This window comes from Homo sapiens, chromosome 5 (genome assembly GCF_000001405.40).
Source record: "Homo sapiens chromosome 5, GRCh38.p14 Primary Assembly".
In the NCBI taxonomy this organism is placed as follows: Eukaryota; Metazoa; Chordata; class Mammalia; order Primates; family Hominidae; genus Homo; species Homo sapiens.
In genome coordinates, this window is record NC_000005.10 from 7,746,504 (window position 1) to 7,769,788 (window position 23,285).

The 23,285-nt window shown below is 41.5% G+C and overlaps 1 protein-coding gene across 5 annotated transcripts in view; it reads left to right on the top strand.

Annotated features, from left to right (window-relative positions):
* The window catches only part of ADCY2 (adenylate cyclase 2), a 433,944-nt gene that overhangs the window by 350,366 nt on the left and 60,293 nt on the right, over window positions 1–23,285 (top strand). For 3 of the 5 annotated variants that reach the window (NM_020546.3, XM_047416645.1, XM_047416646.1), the window contains exons 16-17: window positions 10,946–11,083; window positions 20,184–20,303. In NM_020546.3, coding sequence (NP_065433.2) covers window positions 10,946–11,083; window positions 20,184–20,303 — 258 coding nt within the window. Of the gene's footprint in view, window positions 1–10,945; window positions 11,084–20,183; window positions 20,304–23,285 lie in introns of those variants that run through there. The other 2 variants (XM_011513942.3, XM_047416647.1) reach the window with 2 other exon arrangements.

Sequence of the window (23,285 nt, forward strand, 5' to 3'; positions counted from 1 at the left end):
CCATCCAAATTCAGTCAAAAACTGCTCATCACAAATATTCCGCAGTGGTCGTGGAGAAACATTGTCACTTCCTAAGTGCTCATTCCCTGGCTTCTTAATAGCTTCCCAGTTGTGTAAGGTTTTATAATGATTTGCATTTATTATGAATTAAATACTGAGTTTATTAAAGAGTACTCAATACCCGAAACTTGCCTTCTATTAACGTATGGTAACTTTCTGAAAACTTCGATGCCAAAGACAGTATTTGTGCTCTAATACCAGCTTTCAGTTCTCCGTATGAAGAAATAACATAAAATGTAATACTTCATAAAGGAAGCTGAAGAGAGGTCAGCCTGGCTAATGTTTTCTTCCAAGAGCTTTGCCTCTGTCATTCTCTGTTGCACAGAAAGCGTAATGCCAATAAATCAAATTGATTGCTTGTTTTACAACTGGCCTTGATAAAAAGGTAGAAAAATATCAAAATAGGCAAAAAAAATGGTGATGATGAATTGCAGATTTTTTCCTGTTGATAGAAAAATCGTACAGGTATTTGTTCAGTGACATGTTCTCAAACACATGGCAGGCATTTCTTTTCTGTGATCATTATTTCTGTGAGAAGCCCAGCCCTCGCCTCCATCGGCCCCTTCACTCCCACCCGAGGCATGCCCCATGCTGGCTCCCTGCTACCCCCACATTGCCCAGGTCTCAGTTCTTGTGCACGTGGGTGGGCCCAGCCACCGGGCACCTTCCAAGATACCTTGAAACTGCACCAAGCCCTTCTTTTTACACCGTGGGACTGACAATCTGTGTCACGTAGCTTAGCCTCCATCATATAAGATCTCACTGAGACCTCTAAATTGTTTCTGTTTCCCCTTGAATATATAGAGTTCCTTGTACTGTAGCATTTTTATGGGGTCCTTTCTTACTTTCTCCTCTCATCCGGCTCTGGTTAGCACTCCCTCATCTCATGGAGGCCAACCTTTCTCAAGCCGAGTTAGGTGTCCCCTGCAGAACCTTCTCCAAATGTCCCAGCATGGGGACAGACTCTATGTGTCAATGATCACGTGGATGAGAGAAGGAATGTGAGTCAGTGGCCTTCATCACGCTGCGTCAAAATGCCTTGTTCACATATGCCATGATTCCTTGACTCTGACGTGCCTCCAGCTGTCTCCTCTGTTGGAAATTATCATCTAACTTTCATAATCCAACTCTGAAGAGCCCGCCTTTGCACCACCAACTCCTCTCATGCTGGCTGGCCGGGATTCCCATTTTGCGTTATTACTTTTATTCTTGTGGATGGAAAGATCTTCAGTGAGTTCACTGTAGCCCTATTTTGTTCATTGTACTACTTCAGGCACTTGAAAAACACAAGATAAATATTTAATATCAATCTGCTTGAAGGAATGTTGGGTTGCACCCAAGTGCGGTTTCCTGGTACCACTGCTCAGAAAACATTCCACCCCCATTCTCACCCCAACTGGACTCCTTCCGAACTTGAAGCTCTGAATCCAGCTCACAGTCATGGCATCCTGCTCCGCATTCTGGCGGGTTCCCAGCCTCTGCATCTGGGCCTGGCATCCTGATGTTCTCACTTGTTGGATCTCCTTAGACACCTCTGCCTCAGGTGCCTTCCTAGGCCCATATAGCAGCCCCTTCATCTCACCATTGCCAGCTATTCTCAGGCAGAGAAATATGTGCCCTAGGGGACCTTCTCCAGATGGCTTAGCAGGAGGGCGGGTTCTATGTGTAAAGGAATGTGTGGGTGAGAGAAGGGATGGTAAGTCGGTGGCCTTCGTCACACTGCATTGAAATTTCTTGCTCACATTCACCATGATTCCTTGACTCTGAAATGCTTTCTACATCGGATGCTATTTAGCATTTCAGAATTTAAAACTCAAGAGGTGAGAGGGAACCTAGAGATAACCTCATCCAGCCTCTAATTCTGTGGATGAGGGACCAAGGACTCCAAAGGTGCCATCCACTTAAGTGAGTTTTTATTTCCAATTATTTAAAATAAACATTTCCCCCCACCCTCCAACACACACACACACACACACACACACACACACACACACACACACAAAATGCTGAAGAAGCTGTAATCAGGCTTCTTGAGGATGCAAATGGAGGCTTTGGAGTAGAATCAGGAATGCAATGACTATGAGGTCTGCAAAGGCTTCCTATCCTTGGGTAAGAACCTTTGGAATAAATCCAAACTATTTATGATGGGCAAGATCCCAATGAGTGGTTCTGATTCCAGCCTCATCATAGTTTATAAGTAGTAAATGTTATATTAAAAATACCTACTTACTCTGCTAGGCACTTAGCTTCTACTGGCTCATTTATGGTCACAAGGGCCCTTGGAGGTAATATCCATTTGACAGTTTAATAGAACCGGGGCTCACAGATGCTACATAACTTGCCTTCCCAGTGGTATATAGCAAGTAGGTGTTGGAACCAGAATTGGAATCAAGCCTTGGAACCTTATAGTAGAAGCAGGTTGCAGAGGGTGCCAGGCTGTGTGTGGGGTGAGTCACAGGCAGACGGTGCCCAGCACTAGGCAGGGATGCCCATGTTCATGGACATGGACCAGCATGGCACCAAAGTTGCCTTGTGACTACTCAGCACCCATTGATCAAAATCACATTGGTAAGTCATGGTAACTTCACATAGTACCTATTCTTATTCTTCTCTACTCTAGTTTCCTAAAGTATGTTTTTCAGCTGTTGGTCCCATTTATTTAAAACTAGGTTCTGGGCAAAGTGTAAATTCATCTTAAAAGACATTTGATAATTTTTTTAAGTTAATTTATAATTGTGTTTAGATTAAAGTAATCTAGTAAGAAAGTACTCAGTATTATAATAATACTTTACAAAATGTTTTATACATATAATAGTCCTTCAAAGTATTTTCAGACATTATTTTATTTGATAATGAAAATAATCCATTTTATCTAGGCAGAAGCTAAGACTAGAATAAGAGATTCAAGTTCACATTTTCATTACAATTAGCAATTAAAAATAGTACTAGTTGTCATTGTAGCAGTAATAGTAATAAGTGCACATTCACAGTCAGATTTAACTTTCTAAACTACCTGAGGCAGACTTACCTTTCTATGATAAATACAAGAGAGTGACTCTAACCAAAAATTCCACCAAACAAACCAACCCCCAAAACACCTTTAGAACGCATATGCTGGATACGGCAAATGAAAATGCCAGAAAATATCAGAAGAAATTTTTCTCTCAGTGTTGTTACCTTGTGCTTTCAATAGCAGAGATAATACGATGCCAGCCCACCAACGTTCTTCCAGGCAGAGATAAAAGCGCAAATAGAGAGGTCGCCTCGGGAAAGGGAAAGTAGGTCACACAGCTAATAGAAAAGCTTTCTACCCCACAGCAGTGTTTTTCCCTTGAAGTCTGTTTTCTTTCCTGTCAATATCCCTCCACCATATTTTATTTTTGGTTAGTATTTGCCTGGTGTTCCTTGTTCCATCTTTCTACTTTCAGCTTTTCCTTGTCAATGAAAAGGATATAGGTTTTAGGTGTGTCTCTGGTGAACAGCATGTAGCTCTATGTCCTTTTCTCTGATCCAAACATCTCTCTCTCTTATTTGACAAGTGTGATCCATTTACCTGTATTATAATTATTACTAAAATCTTTTAAAACCCAATTTGTATCTTTTTGCTTCTACTTGTTTTTCCTTCTTTTCTGCCTTCTTTTGGACTCCTGGAGTTTATTCTCTTTTATTCTCTCTAGTGACTTGGAACTTATATACTCTAGTTTGTTTTTTCAGTTATTACCTTAAAACCGTAACATGTACACATGATTAACAAAGTATATTATTAATAATATCTCCACTTTCTTGTTGAACAATACAGGGACCATGCTCTGAGTCTGGTAATTTTTCTCATCTTCCATACTAGCATGGTTTAAATTTTTCTAAACTTAAACTGCTCAAATTATTCAATGTTTATTCCTGTTTTTGTTAAACAATGTATTTGTTTACTATTTTTTCCAAATACCATTCCACCTTTCTGGACTCAGTTTCCATATTACTAAAATGCTTCCTTTTATAATCCTTCCCATGAGGGTTTGTATATAATATACCCACTCAGATTTTGTATTTTAAAAAGTCTTTATCTTTTCCCCATTGTGATTATTTATAATTTTTTCTAACATTCTAAAAACAGGATTCCATAATTTCCTGGCCTCTGTGGGAATGAGATTAACTCTCCTGTCCATCTAACTGTTGTAGACACTTGGTCCCTTGTCTCGGTGGGAGTTTTTGTAGGATTTGCTCTTTGTATCATGGGCAGTAGATTCCAGGTGTCAAAGTGCAGCCTGACTTTTATTTTTGAGACTCAGCTGTGTATTCTCTACCACAGACCTCATAATCCGCTCTAGGTCTGCAACGTCATTGTCCAATATCTCCTTGTGTTTTGTCTCTTCCCTGGTCTTTCTGTTCTGCTTTTTTCAAACTTTTATCAGAGGTATGTTGAATCTCTTCATCATATCCTCTGTGTCTCAGTCTCTTTTTCCTATTTTCCACTTCTTTATCTTTCTGTGCTATTTTGTGGTTTATTTCCTGAGATGTTTCATAGCCTCTCCCATTCACGGGCAGTTCATCCAGTTCCTCAATAACCATTTAGTTTTTAATTTCAATATCTACATTTTCATCTCTAGAAAGTTTATGTGGCTCATTTTAAAAAATACTTGTTATTTTTCCTTAACAACTCACTCATTCATATGGATTATAATCCCTCTTTTGTTACTTTAATCTTAATTTAGAAGCTATTTCAGGTTGTTGTCGTATCTGCAGATCTCGTGGTGCTAATTCGACTACCTCTAATGTCTTTTGATTCTTCCTCATATGGTCCATTGCCTTAGGTACTTTATAATTTGGTTTTTATTGTGAGGTTATGTTCAGGAGGAACTGCCCCAGCCCCCAGATGGGACATCCCTGCACACTGTAGTCTAAAGTATCATTTACCAGCAGTGTCATTCTTGCTTCTGCCATAGCCCCAAGGATTTTCTCTGGTTTTGACCTAATTAACAACCCTTCAATTTGGAATTCTTATTATGAATCAGGTAATGTGATTTCAAACCCAACACTTTAGGGTTTGGATTGATCCTTGGAAGCTTATTGACACTTCCCTGAGCTAGTGAATGGGGCTCTTCTAGACTTCTTTGTACAGAAAGTATAGCAGTTTGAGGCTCTGGATTTTATTCAAGAGTCTTAGTTGCAGCTGTCCACGTTTGGCTGGCCCAAGGAAATATCTTCTTTTCCCTATGGGTGTTAAAAGCTCACCCCCTAAGTGCCATAGCCTGAGTCCTGATCCAGGACACTCCTGGACCCACCCCACAGCCTCAGTTCCTTTATCACTGAGCTCTCTCTTTGTTTCTGTGCCCTGGTAATTTCCCTTTGAGTCCATCATTAAAAATAGTAAACAGAATCAACACGTATTTGACGAGTTCCTACCATTTAACAAACACTATACTGGCCTCTGGGAAAACAGAGACAAGTGCGATATGGTCACTGTCCTCAACCACCTCTGCATTTGGCCAGAGACAAGCATGTCAGCAAAAATGATGCAATGTGGTACCCAGTGGAGCAACAGTGCAGGGATGTGGCTCACCCAGGGCGAAAAGAAGAAACAGGTTGATTTTGTAAAATATGATTGATTGGCATAAAGAAGTCTTCCTATGGGAAATTAAAGGACAATTAAATAATCAAAGTACACATCACAGTCTTTGTGACATTAAATGTTACAAGTAATTATTGCTCCGGCTTATTCCTGCCATTCAGAATGACGGTCCTCAGCTAATTAAAATGCCAAAGTAGATGTTCCTTTAGGCAAATACACAAAAGTACATGTTTATATGAAACATGAAACCACTATATTTTCCAAGCAAGATTTTTAAGATGGATTTCGTTTTTCTAATAATAAAAGTTTGCTTCTCAGCCACTCTGATATCTTTATAACTTTTCTGGATTTTTTTTTTCATTTTATTAAGTTCACTTAATATGAGCTTCTACTTCTCTTCAAGTGTCTCATCTTATTGTTAAAATGGAAACTAATGAAACTGTAAATGAAGTCTACTTTTATAATGATTAAGTTAAATTATGAAGAATTAATTTTAGAGTGAAAAATTTAGATTTAACTTAATTTGAGAGACTACCAGTTGTTTCCATTGCAAGTGGATCAAAACAAGGGAAGAAAAAAAAAAGGAAAGAGAGAGGGAAGGAAGAGAAGCTGGCTGATATTTTTGGTGGAGCATGTATGAACATTTTGTTTTTCTGAGGAAGATCTGCATGTACTGGATTAAGAACATTGGGATTCATCCCACGTTTTTCCTACCACACCCCACTGCTCGTTGTCCCCATCATCAATTCTATGATAGGATTTTCCTTTTTTTTTTTTTTTTTTTTCTGAGACACAGTCTTGCTCTGTCACTCAGGCTGGAGTACAGTAGTGCAATCTCAGCTCACTGCAACCTCTGCCTCCCGGGTTCAAGCAGTTTTCCTGCTTCAGCCTCCTTAGTAGCTGGGATTACAGGCACCCGCCACCACACCCAGCTTATTTTTGTCTTTTTAGTAGAGACAGGGTTTCACCATGTTGGCCAGGATAGTCTCAAACTCCTGACCTCATGATCTGCCCATCTCAGCCTCCCAAAGTGCTGGGATTACAGGCGTGAGCCACAGTGCCTGGCTAGGATTTTCCTATATATTTCTTCTTTTATTACATCTCCCACTGCATTTAGTATCAATCCCTTGTTTGTTAATGGATGAATGTGATATTCACATCCAAGTGCATTTCTAGAAGGTACACGGTGAGCTCACTGTAAGTAAGAGCCGATCATGGGGTTCAGTGAGATGATCAAGGAAGGGAGGAAACAGATGTGGTTGAAATTATGCCAGGAGTTAAACCAAAGATCAAAGAAAATGACTCCACTGACTGGGCTCACAGCAGGCATTTTCTCATTTTCAGTTGAATAGTATCTTCCAAATAAAGGCCAAAATATTTTTTGAGATGTTGTCATTTATAACATTTAATTAGGATGGTCGGAATTTTGATAAACATTTTTCCACCAGAGCCTTTAATACTTAATCAAAAACAGGATAAACTGAAGCCAATGATCATATCAAGAGCCAAGTTGTAATTTTTCTACAGAGCTACACACTGAATCAAGGGTCTCCATTTTTCTTAATCAGGTTCCTTCCATTTTAGAATCTTAGTCCTGTTTCTCCTCTTATCCCCATCATTGGTTTCTTCTGCTCCCCCCACCAGCTTGATCCTCCACTTCCTCTTTCATCCCTGTCATTGCAACTGTCACCTCTCTGTTCTCTTCTACTTTCTTGTCCTTGCCAGCAGCAATGCCTACCAATTTTTACACTTCAGAACAGGTTTACTTACCTTGTCACTGCTTGGTGACAAGGAAAGATACCGCCTGTCTCCCTGACCTCTGGAACAACACATTTGGCATAAGTTTTAAAACAATTGTGAGGGAGAACTTTGAGGTATGCATGGAAAATGCATGGGTGAATAATTGAACCAAGCGCATCCTGAACCTGTTGTGCCAAACCCATGTCTGCCAAACCCCCATGCGTCTAGTAAGTAGCTGCAAGTGCTGCCGATTCGTCATTTTGCCTGGCATGTCACACGAACAGAAAAAAATTCCTGCATATCTGCCCGGGTCTGTTTTAGTAAGTTACTAGCCTATGAGCAGAATATAACATATTCCTATTAGATTAGCATATTTGACAAGATTATCACCACGTATTTTTCTAAATCTTCAAACACAGTAACTTGTTTTAATTTTGTAATTTCAAAAATTTGTCTGTGTAATAACTAGCTAATATTTTACCTAATTGACAGTGATATGCAATCTTAGCTAGATGTACATTTTCCCCTGAAGTAATAAACTTTTTAAATGTTCTACTGTTAACATTTTCATTATCATATCTATTGATAATTTCTGTGTACAGAAATTATCATAATTTCACAAATATAAGAGCATTGATTTTAATAATTTTCTCTTAAAGGTACTAACTGTAGTCAATCTGGATGTGAATATATAAATACTGTCTTAATTTGTGAGAATCAAACCAAATGCCATTATCTAATGGAATCTGAGCTAGATGAGCATAATATTTCATTTGAAGCTCGGCTCTTCATATTGTATTATAGGTTGGTGCAAAAGTAGTTGCGGTTTAAAGGTAATGGCAAAAAACAAAACAAACAAACAAAAAAAACTCAGCTACTCAGGAGGCTGAGACAGGAGAATCGCTTGAACCTAGGAGGCGGAGGTTGCAGTGAGCAGAGATCGTGCCATTGAACTCCAGCCTGAGTGGTGAGAGAGCAAGACTCCGTCTCAGGAAAAAAAAAAAGAAAAAACAAAACAAAACAAAACAAAAAACCTTCTTCTACGGAACACAGATCTGACTGTGTTTTGTGATATTAGTATTATTAGAAGTAGCATGCATTAAACAATAATGATAACCATTCGTGGGTGGATGTTCTCTGGCTACCTGACCCTCTAAGATGCTGCATGTTCAGAGCATTAAGGGACATCTTGCTGCATGACAGATTTCCTGCCATCACCAACCCCTATCCAAACCTGCTCTTAAGTAGAAGCGTCAAGTACAGATCTGGTTCTTCTGTTGCCGGTGATCAGATGTCCTGCAGAGCTGGGCCGAGGGCGCCCCCTGCCGCCAGTCAGCAGTCCAGCTCTGGGCAGCCTGTGCGGCTGAGGGCAGCAGTGGCTCAAGCTCCCTGGTAGGTACTCAGAGAAATGAGACGAGGGCGCAGGAAAATCAGCCCAAGAAGTGAACCCGGAACCTGGTCCTGCGTCTCCCTCAGGGGGGCATGTGCGCTGTACACAAACATTGTTCATCTTTTCCTATCAGGAGCTGGAAGGAAGAAAAAAAAAAACATGGTGGAAAGGAGTAGAGAGGAGGAGATTTTGTTGTTGTTTACATAGATATAAAGGAAATAGGATTTTGGTCACTAAAATGTTTCTAAGAAACATTGTGTTTTCTTCATTGAAATAACAGGAAGAGCTAACACTTGTAAGTCCTGTTGCACGCACCTTCTCTAACTCGTTTAAACCTCTGCAAAGACAGAGGAGGCAGGTACTGTTATTATCCCCGTTTCAGAGAGGAAGAAACTGGGACCCCATTTCAGAGAGGATCATTAATTTGCGCAAGTTTCCCAGCAGTAGAGGTTTGAAGCTAGGCCATGGCTGATTCTTTAACCTTCTCAACTCCTCTCTCCTGTGTTTAGACGATCATTCAACTGTTGTATCAACATTGAACATACAGCAATGCTTAGGGCAACAATAATTTTAGGAACAATACAAAAATAAGATGTGAAAGAAGTAGAGAACTGAAAGCGCAGCCTATTTGTGCTGTTCAGGAATATTCTTTATTTGAATTTGAATTTCACTGATGTCACACCAGCTTTGTTTGCCAATAGGTTAACTTGGTAGTATCGATCAAAGGGCATAATTTATGTTATTCCTTCTTCTGAATTTCTTGAAATCATCACCTTGTTTTGTTTCCAAGACACATAGCCTTGGGACCACAGGCCCGTTAGTGTGAAGATAACAATGTCAATCCCTGGAGGACTTTTACTTCCTGCTTCTCATATCAGATAACGTATGCAAATTATGCCCACGCAGCATCTGCATAGGCAGAGTTGATGTCACCCACAGTTCAGTGGAACTCTGTGTACTGCTCCACACTCATACCTGGGAGAATATGGTGAGAATCCTTGGAAAGGTGGCCCTCAAGATGGGTGAGCTTATGCACTGAGACCCCATGGTGAATGGGGAGCAAATGCTGGCTGTCGTTCCCCAAAGATCTCAATTCCTTCTTGTATCAAAAAAGTTTCCCCAACCCCGATATGTATAGCCGCATATTCACAACAGCCAAGAGGTGAAGCAACTCAGTGTCCATTTTATGAATGGATAAAAAAAAGTATAGATCCATACAATGGAGTTTTATTCAAGCTTTAAAAAAGAAGGAAATCTTGGCATAATGCTACAACATCGTGATCTCTGGTGACATTATGCTGAAAGAAATAAGCCAGTCACAAAAGGAGAACTACTAGATGGTTCCACTTATAGGAGGTCTTAGAATAGTCACAGTCATGGAAACAGGAAGGGGAATGGTGGTTGCCGGGGGCTGGGAGGAGGGAGGAACGGGGAGTTGTTTTTCCATGGGTATAGAGTTTCAATTTGGTAAGACTGAAAATCCTAGAGATGTTACACAACAATGTGAATGTGGTTGTCACTACTGAACTGTACACTTGAAAATGGTTTAAAGGGCACATTTTATATTATGTGTTTCTAACACCGTTAAAAATTGTTTGGAGGGAAAAAAGGAGCTTCTCCGTGTGGGAGAAAACCCCCACAAGACCAGACGAGACCACACAAAGCCATCAAGCCTCGTGCCTGAGATTTTCAGACACCGTATTTGTAAGTTCAGGCGCCAAACTAAGTCTGTGGCCTGGGCTGTATTCTTGTAATCTGCTAATGCAGTGTTAAAAGGGTTAGGAGATGTGTTGATCGCTTGCCACATAAATCAGCTGAATAAATGATAACTTTCATCATAGCTGTGATCAGAGACCCAACACATCCCCCAGGGTGATTTAATTAACTGACATTTTTCCTTTGAGAAAGGAATCACTTAAAAACATAATTTCAGGTCTGTTTTAAAAGACATACAAGCACATTGTACCTTTGTCATAGGCATTTAATTTGTTCTCAATTGGTAGCAATGATGCCAACATAATTTTAATAAGGTTTGTGACTTCGTATGGGTCCCCAGGGGAGGATAGAATCTACATGTTTAGTCTATGAACAATGTTGGTGCTTCTTGTGGTTGTAAACATTGTCATCAAGAAACTGGAGAGAAGTCATCAGCTAGCAATGCTTCTCTTTTTCTTTCTCTCTTCTCCTAGCAATGCAGCAAAAAAGCCTCTCCCCTGCTCATGTGGCTTTTGAAGTCCTCGGGCATCATTGCCAACCGCCCCTGGCCACGGATCTCTCTCACGATCATCACCACAGCCATCATATTAATGATGGCCGTGTTCAACATGGTAAGTCCCAGAGCACGGCCGTGTTCAACATGGTAAGCCCCAGAGCATGGCCGTGTTCAACATGGTAAGCCCCAGACCACAGCCGTGTTCAACATGGTAAGCCCCACACCATAGCTGTGTTCAACATGCTCAGCCCCGGGGTGAGTCAGGGCTCACAGCAGGCAGGGCGTTCTTCCCTTCTGGGACCTGTTCTGTGGAATTTTGGAAACTTGCATTTGGCTCCTTTGCAACACCAGTTGCTGCCTATTAAATTTAGCATCTCTTGGCTACAGCAGTCATTTCTCTAAGGAAAGGGGTGCTTTCACAGAGCCACCTTGAGAGACTGGGTGACTCCTTGGATCAGTTCCCCACTTCCTTGCTCATGGTGGCCCCTCAACAGGCTACAGAAATAACTGCAATGTCTTAAGGATAGTCATGAGGGACAAAGGAACCCTCAAACTAAGGAGAGTGCGGTGTCCTGCCCTGGAGTTTAAATGATGCGATTGCAACCCCTTGCTCCCCGTCTCACCAGCTGCACGACTAGAAAGACGTTTTCATTGAACTCCACAGGCTCCATTTTCACTTCTTTGAAAGTGGGAACCAAGACTTCTCTACCAAGGTGGTTCTAAGGATTCAATGAGCCAGTGTTCCCACCACACTTAGGACAGTCCTGGCCATTTTGTAACTATTGAACCAATGGCCACTCTGACTATATCAGTCTCATCAGTGCCGGTTATCTCCCCCACAATAGACACTTGGCTCATCAGGGTGCTTTGAGACACGTCCTTATTGTTCTCACATCAGCAGCAGCAGCTGTAGGAGATCTGATGCTTCCTGTAGTGGAGGCTTCACTCACTGTGGGAAATGCAGTGTTAGGAGATGTAGTCCTTGCCTTCCAGGGACCCAAAGCCAGGTTGTGGTGACAGACCATATATTATTTCATAATAATAACGTCGTTTTTATAAAGTAGAAAGCATTCATGCAGCAAAATGTAATATTTATTGTATATAAAGATGTGTCTGGTATGTGCTGCATGCTCAGACCCCAAAGACAGTTCTCTGCCTTCCAGGAGTAGGAGTAGGAGACAGACAGCTGGGTAACCTCATCATCAAGTCATTCTGAAATGAGGAGGTGAAGGCAGCAACAGAGGCATGAGGGGAAGGGAGAGCAGGGCCTGCTCGATGGAATCCTGGAGGGCGGAAAGGAGGAGTCTGCCACATGGGCCTGGAGGAAGTGAGGGGCAAGGGCAGGTGGGCGGAAGGGGAGAAGGTGGGATGTTTGCATCTGGGACAAGAGTAGAAATTCATATTACGAAGTAGAGAAAAACAAGGCTGAAGAAGTGGGTTAGGACCTTGAATGTTTACATGGGGTCAGTCCTCCAGGTCACGCGAGAGATCGTAAATTCCTCTCAAACACCTGCAGATTCAGGTGAGGGTGATGCCACCTGGACCCCAGATGGGCCAAGCACTAGCAGCAGGGGTGGGATGGCCTCTCCATCGCTTTGTGTAGCCTGGAAATTGATCTTAGTGACACCTGCAAAGGGGCCTTCAGAGAGAAGCTGTAGCTTGTCCTCCCTGCTGTCTAGAGGTGAATGTGTGCAATTCCCATAGGTTTTCCTGTGTCATGAGTTTGGGGACAAGTATGCTGGCAGCCCTACCTCACCTGCCTGTGTGTCCCAGCTCCATTTCAGGAGCTCCCCAAGAAAGAACATGAGGCCAGCCCTGATGTGGGCTCCCCAGGCATGCGGGCCACTGAAAGGTGCCACCACAGCTACCTCCTCCAGCCACCTGCTCAGCCTCCAGAGCAGCTAGTTCAAAGGCTCATCTGTTGCTGGGGAAGGAGGGGCTCACCAGGCAAGTCCATGCAGGCCACAGCCTCCCAGGGCTAAGGCAGGCCCTTGGCTGGCAGTCCCCTGTGGAGAGGTCCTGACAGGCCAGGTCCACCGCTGGAAGCCCTCCTCCTGCCCTTCTGTAAGATGAGCGAGTGGCACGAAGTGGGTCTCCCCTTCTTCTTAGGTGTTTGCATCACCCGAGGCTCATTTTCTGCTGCAGGGATCATAAGGCCTCCCTCTGGGGGAGGAGGCCTCCTCTTCTAGGTCTCAGGCGTGCCTGGATGGTGACGTCATTTATTTCCAATTAGGGCTTAATCCAGAGGGAATGGGAAACAGCTGAAGAGGGAAAATGTGCCATGTCTAGACAACAAGCAATTCCCTGGGGTACCACTGGGCTCCAGAAAGATAGAAACGCCAGGGCTCAGGTGGAGACCTGCTCCATTCATCTACCTGAGGCACCTGCTCATAGGAGCCAGACTGGCCAGCCAGGGTATTCTGCCTGAAGAATAGGGTTGGGGGGTGGGGGTGGTGGGGAGTGGTTCTTGCTATGGTCCCAGAGCTTTCTTCAGGGGGACAGCCTCAGGGTGGGGAACTCAAGATGAGAGATTTAAGACAGGGACAGGAGAGGCTTTCTTGAAAGAGCCTTTCTGCAGACACACCACGAGCCACAAGAATGCCTCAGCTCTCTGCATAGGCAATTTCCTGGATACTGCAAGGATGTGAAGAAATCACAGGGAAGGAACCTGGACAGAGAGAGAGGCAGGCAAGGGGCATTGGCCTGAGATGCCAGAAGCATGAGTGTGTTTTCTAAAATGGGTTTTTCGGGCTCGACTTTGTAACCTGCATTTATGCATTAGTCCTGCTCTTCCAAGATCCAGCTCCCCAGGAAAGTGCACTGCCAAGCACCAAGTGGACTTTGGTAGATGAAAGCTGTGAGAGAGACTGGGTCGGAAGTTGACTCCGTAGCCAAGGGGCTGAGGATGAAAGCACACTTGAAGGGCAGCAGGGTGCACAAGCTAAGGTTCCAATTTACTCAGAACCCTTGGGTGACTGACACATGCCCGTAAAATTAAGCCGCCTCCTGGCCCGTCAGGAGTGTGTTCACCATGCATGCAAGCAAATTGAGCACACTTCCTGAGAGTTGACCTTCACTGGCCAGTAGCAGCACATATGAGTTAGGGGACAATACATTTAATATCATATACACACACGTAAGAGTGAGATCATTTTTTCTTTCTCTCATTGTATAAATTTCAGTTGTGGAACATGATGTTTTGATATACATATAAATTGTGAAATGATTACTGCAGGCAAGCAATTTAACACATCCATCACCTTCCACATAGCTTCTTGTGTGTGTGATTAGAGCACCTAAAATCTACTCCCTCAGCAAATCTTAAATACAACAGAATATTATTAACTAAGTCCTCCAGCTGTGCATTAGAAATCCAGATGCATTCATCCCACATGACTGCAGCTTTGTACCCTTTGACCTACATCTCCCCATTTCCTGGCCTCCCCAACACCTGGTAACCACCATTCTACTCTCTGTTTCTGTGTATTCAACTTTGTTTTATTCCACGTATGAGATCATGCAGTATTCATTTTTCTGTACGTGGCTTATTTCACTTAGCATAATGTTCTGCATATCCATCTATGTTGTTGCAAATGACAAGATTTTTCTCTTTTTTAAGGCTGGATAATATTCCATTGTGTATGTGTGTGTATCAAAATTTCTTTTCTTTTCTTTTCTTTTTTTTTTTTTTTTTTTGAGATGGAGTCTCGCCCTGTCACCCAGGCTGGAGTGCAATGGGGTGATCTTGGCTCACTGCAACCTCTGCTTCCCAGGTTCAAATGATTCTCCTGCCTCAGCCCCCTGAGTAGCTGGGATTTCAGGCACCCACCACTACGCCCACCTAATTTTTGTATTTTTAGTAGAGATGCGGTTTCACCATGCTGGCCAGGCTGGTCTTGAACTCCTTACCGCGTGATCCACTGCCTCGGCCTCCCAAAGTGCTGGGATTACAGGTGTGGGCCACCATGCCCAGCCCAAAATTTCTTTATCTAATCATCCATCAATAGATAGATTGTTTCCGTATCTTGGGTGTTATGAATAATGCTAGAATGAACTTTGAGGAGATCTTTGTTTTTTTTCACATGCCCTAGGAAAGTGCCTTCCATTCATTAGTTATTAAATGAAAGAATGAGTGAATGAATAGGTAAGCATACAGCCCTTTAAATAAGAAACGATTTCTTTTCGTAACATCTAGTTTGACCTTATAAAACCAGGATTTATCACCTAATTCTTAAAGACGATATAAATGAGAAACAAATCTGGTTTGGAAGCTAACTCTATTTTGTATAGCATAATTAGTCATGATTGACAGACAGTTCAGTCACTGTCTATAAATGTTTGACAAGCTGATCATTTAGGAGGAGACATTCTTTCAACAGTAGCTACGATCCTTTAGAGAGAGAACACCTGCCTTCAGCAACAGAAATATGTCTTCCAGTGTTGTTTTCCTTCCTCCACAGAAGACACATTAAAAGTATGATGGATGACCCTTGAGGTGTATTTCTTTCTCAAAAATCATTCATCACACTTTTTAATACTTTTAATGTGCCTTCTGCAGATTTTCCACATACCAAGCTGCCTTCTGTAGCAGTAGGAGCAGGAAATAAGCTAAATTACCTTCCCCCACTTTTCCTGTCTATCGATTAAGGGGGAGAAGAAATCAGAGCTGCTCAAGCACTGAATTCCTCCAAGAGTGCAGAAAAATACCATTTGTGTTGATACCTGGTGCCATGAACCACACGGGTGCTCCTCTTGTACTTATGTCAAAGAAAAATCATAAAACTGTAGGAAAGTTGGTGTTAGGTACAGAAAGGAAGTAACATGACCTGGCTGTAGAGCCTTGTTTATAATGTCTTATTAATCACAGAAGAGGCAGGACTTGTCCATGGGGCTCTGCCTCTGGCCACACCTGAGGATCTGCAGATGCCCTGGGCCCCTGAGCTCTGACTGTGTGAGGCAGAGGCAGTGCCCGGGGCCACACACAGGTGGTGCTGATGCAGCACTCAGACTGCCCAGGCAGACAGGCAGGTTAGGAGGGAGCACCTGTGCAGGGTGGTGCAAGGGAAGCATACTCCTGTCACTCATGTCAGGAAGGCGACACCTTCTGCTGAGGATGTGAGTGAAACCTAGTCTTTACCTACATGCAGTTCAATGGTCCCAGGGTTGTTTCCCTTTTTACCTAGTCCCACTTTAACCTGCCCATCCTGGAGCAGTTTCTGGTTAAAGGAGTACAGCTTTTCATGTTTTTCTCCGTATTTTTTTTTTTCTGAACACATTTTCCAGACTGATGGAGCCCCATCCCCAAGTAGTATTTCTATTTCTCAGTTGTTAACCCAGTGAGACTAATCCAGGCATCGGACTCACATTTCAGCAAGAATAACAGTTATTTGTGTTGGTGGAGTGGGGGGCTGTGGGCGCGCATATGCTTTAAGTCACGGGGAAGAACATTTAATTTGCTCTCAGAAAACTTCATCGTTTTAAAGACATAGCCTCAATCATGTCCTCATGTATAGCACCTATGATTTTTTTTAAGTTTTCCCTTTGAGACAGAGGAAGAGTGCTTTCATTTTCTTTGTTTTTTTTGTTTGTTTGTTTGTTTGTTTGTTTGTTTTTCTGTTTCTAATGTATTTTTTTTTTTCCGAGACGGAGTCTCGTTCTGTCGCCCAGGCTGGAGTGCAGTGGCGGGATCTCGGCTCACTGCAAGCTCCGCCTCCCGGGTTCACGCCATTCTGCCTCTGCGTCCCGCGTAGCTGGGACTACAGGCGCCCGCCACCACGCCCGGCCAATTTTTTGTATTTTTTAGTAGAGACGGGGTTTCACCATGTTAGCCAAGATGGTCTCGATCTCCTGACCTCGTGATCCACCCACCTCGGCCTCCCAAAGTGCTGGGATGACAGGCGTGAGCCACCGCGCCCGGCCTCTAATGTATTTTTTAATTATGTAAAATATATATAAATAAGGTATATTATTGAACAATTTTTAAACATACAATTTAGTAACATTAAGTACATTTGCAATGTTGCGCGACCATCACTACCATCTATCTCCAGAGCGCTTTTCATTTTCCCTACAGCAACTGTGTCTCCATGAAACACTCACTCCCCATCCTCCCTCTCCCCAGCCCCAGGTCACCATTGTGCTGCTTCCTATTTCTATGAATTTGCCTATTCTAGGGACCTCACATGAGTGGAGTCACACAATATCTGTCCCTCTGTGTCTGGCTCCTTGCCCCTGGCATCGTGCCCTCGGGTGTTCCTTTTCTTCTGGAAGCCCCAGTCCCTCTGCAGCCGGTGAGCCTTGGTTTGCCCTGCGTTTTTCCAGCCAGTGGCAAGCAGCCCTTATTAATTGCCTCTCTGTCATCGCTTGCCATGACTCTGTACCTCAAAGGGGAGAGATGCATTAGGAGTAACATGTGACGGCTTGAGGCTGCCCTGACCTGTCCCTGCTGTTGACTGGGTGGATGGGCTGGTTCATCCCGAGGCTCCACGTCAATTTCCAGTCACTGATATTTATTCCCAGCCTGCATTTTAATGACCCTTACAAAAGCCAGGGTCAACGGGAACAGTGTGTTCAGAGAACTGGCTTTTTAAATCTCATTACTCATTGGTATTGAATGCCAAAATGTCCAAGTCAGTTTTATTTCCAATGAATTGTGCGATTTTAACAGGATATCTTAAACACTTGATGTTTATCCATGTGATACCAACACCTCAATCAAAAGTGGAGAAAAACAATTGGTTGTCCATGCTTGTTTCATACGTAGTGTTTTTTCCATCTTAGTCTCCAGCTAGCTGTTGAGAATCACATATGAGTGGCCGAATGTGCTGCCATTTTATTCCTGACATTTTGAGAATGTTGTCACTTGATTCCTCACAGCATTTTGCAATTTCTTCTGAGAAATTTCCAAGAAATTTATTATAAGTAAAGCATATATAAATCTGTGAGCCACCCAGACAAGGAGTTAGCCATAGTTAACTATAGTCTAGTCAGGTAGACTTCTAATTCCAACCAAATGACAAACACAATGATGTCATCAGGCATAAAACAATACTAAAGCACCTGTTCACAATTTAATGTGATTCGAAAAATGTAATTCTGATATGTTTTAAATTGCCTGAGAAATGTAAAATTTGCAAGTAAACTAAAAATATGCAGTGTTCATTAGCATTTTATTTAGGATGTTTTGAACAGATTGATGACATCATTGTCCCAATTGTGACAAAGGATGTGGAAAATTAAATTGGGTCCAGAGAAGAGCTGCCTAAATCATTATGATGCTAAAAATATTTTCAGTGGAGAAAGTTGGGGCAGTTTTACCTGGAGGGAAGGTGGGCAAGGGATTAGTAACTCTCTTGAGTATTTGACTGGCTACAATTAGGGAATGACATGAGTTTGTTACTTTAAAATGCAAAGAAGACGGAGGAAGGGAAGCTGATTCAAAATTGTAGTATGATTTTAGACAGAATGAAGAGTTTCTTGAATTTACGGGTAGTTGATATTAATAAATACTAGAAAGACATAGCAGAAGTGGGTTAGGAAACGTTGTGTGTAGTGATTGGAGTTTTCTCTTGTACTTTAAGTTCAACCATCATATTTATTGCAAAACCTCCTTGCAAGACACATTTTTCACAAAGTAAACTACTCATTCATTGTATGTCAAGAATGCAACACTTCATTTTACCTAGTTTTTTGCCTATAGGTGATATATAATCAAGAAGTTTTTGTTAATTATTTTAAGATCCTTGGCACTTAAGACTAGTAACCCACCAAGCTAAACAATCTCCTTTTGTTTGCCATTTATTGATTTTTTAATATTTAAATCAATTGAATTTTTGGTCTATCAAATCTAAATCTAAATCTGTACCCTTTTGGAGCCTGATGTTTGCCAAGCAATTATTCCATTCGTATAAGTTTTTCCAAAATGTTAGCACATTTGTAGTTCAGCCAGGGATGTGATGATTTTTACAAGTTCTTTCATCATACATAAAGAAATCTACTACGTTTCTTTGATGCTTAAATCAGCATTTTGCCAAATTTAGTCAAATGATATAACGGCAGAAATACCGTATCTCGTATCTCTATTGACTGTGAGAGGAATGTTCCCAAGAATAGACTAAGTAAATGTCTTCTTATCTGTCCAAATAAATTAGTTTAGGTATTTGACAAGAACTATGCAATCCAGAGAAATAACTCCACAGAAACAAACAAAAGCAACCATAGAAACTATAGGGAAATTTTACTTTTTAAACCTTGAATATGTATGGTTAACCCTATGCAGAAAACACAAGCTGTTTAATAGGTTTATGGATGAGATTAATTTCTTTCAGTAAAAGGAATGGGCTGAAGTCATGAGTCTCTGGTTTGTTTCCAGAACATTCCTCTGACCCTTAGCCACATGACAGAAAAGTGGCTGATCCGTGGGTATTTAGTCTGTGTGCAGCTTCTGTAGGACAGACAGCGAGCGAGCGAGAGAGAGAGAGAGGATGAGAGAGAGAAAAAGAGAGATACACATTTCTACTGCCTTGCTAACAGGTTGATACTGTCCTTCTGATGCTTATATTGGTGACCATTACATAAGAGCTAATTATTTTCTCAGCATTACCTTTTTTGTTTTTTTAGTTTAAATCCCCTTTCCAGCAGTCCAGAGAACATCCATCCTTTTAAATTTTTCACCCCTTATGATTCTGAGTTGCCAGGCACTCACAAATAATAGATACAAATGTCGAGGCTGGTGATTGCATTTTGCCCATAAAATTAATTTTCATTCTAAACATCAAAAATTCATAGGACTGTATTGACTCATTTAATGTTTGAGCCAAGATGGCAAAGATACTGGGGGGAAAAAAGCATTCCGAAGGCTCCGATTTGATGGTAGAGAGTTGAATGTATATATGGTGATATTGGCTTCAAAGGTGATATCGGTTTCAAATGTAATTCTAACCACGCCCTCTGCCCAGAGCTTTGTGTACTTTTAATTTACTGTTTGATAAAGGCGCCTCCAATTCCTTTAATGTGAATTTTGAAGTTCTGGAATTCTCTATTGAATGTATAGAACAATAAATTGTTAATTACTTATTCAATAGAAATTCCCGAGTCCACATAAACAATCCTGTTTACTGTGCATAAGGAACACAGAATTCATAAAGTTAGCACCCACCTGCTAGTTATTTAATCTAATTTACATTAATTCATTGAAAAAAACCTTCTCTTTGCAGTTTTTCCTGAGTGACTCAGAGGAAACAATCCCTCCAACTGCCAACACAACAAACACAAGCTTTTCAGCCTCAAATAATCAGGTGGCGATTCTGCGTGCGCAGAATTTATTTTTCCTCCCGGTAAGAACATTGCAATTATGACTGCTTTGGTGGCTCTCCTGTATGCTCGTAGTCTGTATAACATATATCCTTTAGTCTCAGATCTGTTCTAGACTTTGCATTTCCTCTCTGGTATCAATCCCTGAGTGGTTCTGAATTTACAAATGTCAGCCTCTGCTAGAAGTCTGGGCCCTTGGGAACTGGCTACACTTATATCTGAAAACTTACAATGTTATTGTCATGCTTTCACCAGTAATGTTTCCTTCTTCTCTTAACCACTACAGCATTTCTAGCATATTTCCTACCATATGGCATTCAATTATAAGGCACTATGTTTCTGGGTTTCTTACTTAGAGACATTGCTAATTGTTCCAGTGAATTAATATTATCCCCCTTAAAGCTGTGATAAAACTGCCCACATCTCATTATCTTCCCTCTTCTTTGGCAACATACGTTGCTGAGTGATTCTGTTCCCTAGTAATTCTTGCTAACTGACTCATCTTAACCAGTGTCACAAAGGACCTAGGTTAAAACTTCAAAACTTATTAACACATTAGTCTTCTAAGTGGAGAGTTAGGTCAGTTATTTACTGCTTAACAACTTTGTCCTTCCATAAATCGTTTGTGGAAAAAAAAAAAGTTTTGCTACTCTCCTTTGCACTTTCCAAATAATTATCTGAAAGTAGTGCAGATTATGCTCGTTTAGTTTCCGTGTCAAATAATGGGTTTTGACAATGCTAAGGGAACTATTTTGGGGACTGAAATTGGTAATTTAATATGTACGCTTTCAAAATTCCTTACCAAAAATTTTAACTCCGTTAGCTTTGGCAATAGAGTGGATTTATTTCCTATTCCTCCTTCTCTGATTTGCTTCCTTGATATTTTGCTCTGGTCCTTTTTCCCTTCCCATCATTTAATTTCTTGGGAAGCTCACAGCTCCATGCACAGATAGAAGTGGCTTCTGGGCCAGGCGGGGTGGCTCACACCTGTAATCTCAGCACTTTGGGAGTCCGAGGCAGGCAGATCACGAGGTCAGGAGATCAAGACCATCCTGCCTAACACGGTGAAACCCCGTCTCTACTAAAAATAAAAAAAAATTAGCCGGATGTGGTGGCAGGTGCCTATAGTCCCAGCTACTTGGGAGACTGAGGCAGGATAATGGCATGAACCTGGGAGGCAGAGCTTGCAGTAAGCCAAGATCGTGCCACTGCACTCCAGCCTGGGCGACAGAGTGAGATTCTGTCTCAAAAAGAAAAAAAAAAAGAAGTGGCTTCTGGTGTTCTTTCCTGGAGGCTTCTGAGGCCTTGACTAGGTCATGGGCAAAATGACCAAGGTCCAAAAGCAATGTCCCCTTGGGCTTGGGAAGAGGGGGGTGCTATAGGTTCATCCCCTACCCAGAAGATCCTGCGCTTCAAATTAGGTGTTATCATAAACTCCAGTAAGGGCTAGGCGTTGCCTTCTCTATTTAGTTATGTGAAAAGTGAAAAGCTAGAGTCATTGTGAGAGTTTATTGACTGTAATCTCACTGTGGGCCATTTGTGGGCCATTTGGAGCTCTCTTTTTTAGAGAAATATTTAAATTAACGGTGTGGCCTGCCTATTCCTCCTTGATCCAATGGCGTTAGCATCCATATGATCCATAGGCTGGTTGCTGGGAAGAGAGTGCACCGACCAAACAGTCCCCCTTTCGCATTCACGTGGCACTTTGAGTTTAAAATTTTAACATGAAGATGCATTTTGACAGGAAAAAAATGTATAGCTGCAATATTTTTTTAAATCTCTCCTTCCACTATGTTTGAGCCGAACAACTCACCACACTTGGCATCACTAAAAGAATAAGGAAATCATTATGAATTTCATTTAGGTAAATCTGTATAATATCTTATTTGCAATCAAAGAAAATTATTAAAAACTTAAAGTGGGGAAAGGCAACATTTACTCAACCTTTAAAGATTCTGAAAAAGCACACAATAGGGTCTCTCAAATCTAGGTGGGATTTAGTAAACAGGCTACTATCTTTCCAATCATGAGGCCTTGAAGATCCTGGCCAGCGTTGCCAAGGAAGCCCCAGGTCTACGTGGACTGGCTGCCCAGAAACCACATTGTGAACTCACGGGTTTAGCAGTCCTCAAGGAGCCTGGAGACATCCTGGCTTCCTCCCTAAAGGATCCCAGGGAACAGTAGAAAAGCCATTTTGTGAGTGTGTGCCAAACAGGCGTCATTTCTCTCAAACCCTATGTTATGTGATGCCTGAAGTTGACCAGCAAGCTGAGAAGCATGCCCAGTTCACTGCTGGTGGTGGTATAAAGTGATATAACTCTTCTAAGTGGTAATTTCAATAGTTATCAAAAAGCACAAGACAGACACACTTTTTACCCTGTAACACTAATTTTGAAAATTAATTTTAAAAGTGAAAAGGTTTACCAAAAACATGTTTGTGCATGTGTTTATGTAACATCAACAAAAAGAAAGAAAACAACCTAAAAATATGAAAATGCAAATTTTAAAATACATTTTATTGTAACACACGATAAGGTTATGCTTAACCACCATATAAGACATTGTAAAAAAATTAATGACATATAAATGCATATGCATAATAAATTATTCATTGAAAAGTATTGTTTTAAAAAATACAAAACAGTATTATTTTAATTTTTAAAAATAATACTACCAATAATAAGTAGCAAGAAAAAGGCTGGAAACACCTATACAAATAATGAATAGTGGCTAAAGTGGATGTTGGGGATTATCAGAGACCCTTATTTTTATATATATCCTTTCATATATTTCCCAATTTTTAACATCTGGTGTATTATTTCTCTAGTGGGAAAACATAGTCCTTTTAAAATACCCAAATTAGCTATAAAGATCTTTGCCAAGTTGTTTGTACCACAGCAGGCACTTGGTATGCATTACATCATTTCATCCAAAAATGACCCTGGTGAAGTAGATATTATTGGGATTCTCGTTTTGCAAGTGAAGAAGCTAAGACCCAGAGACTT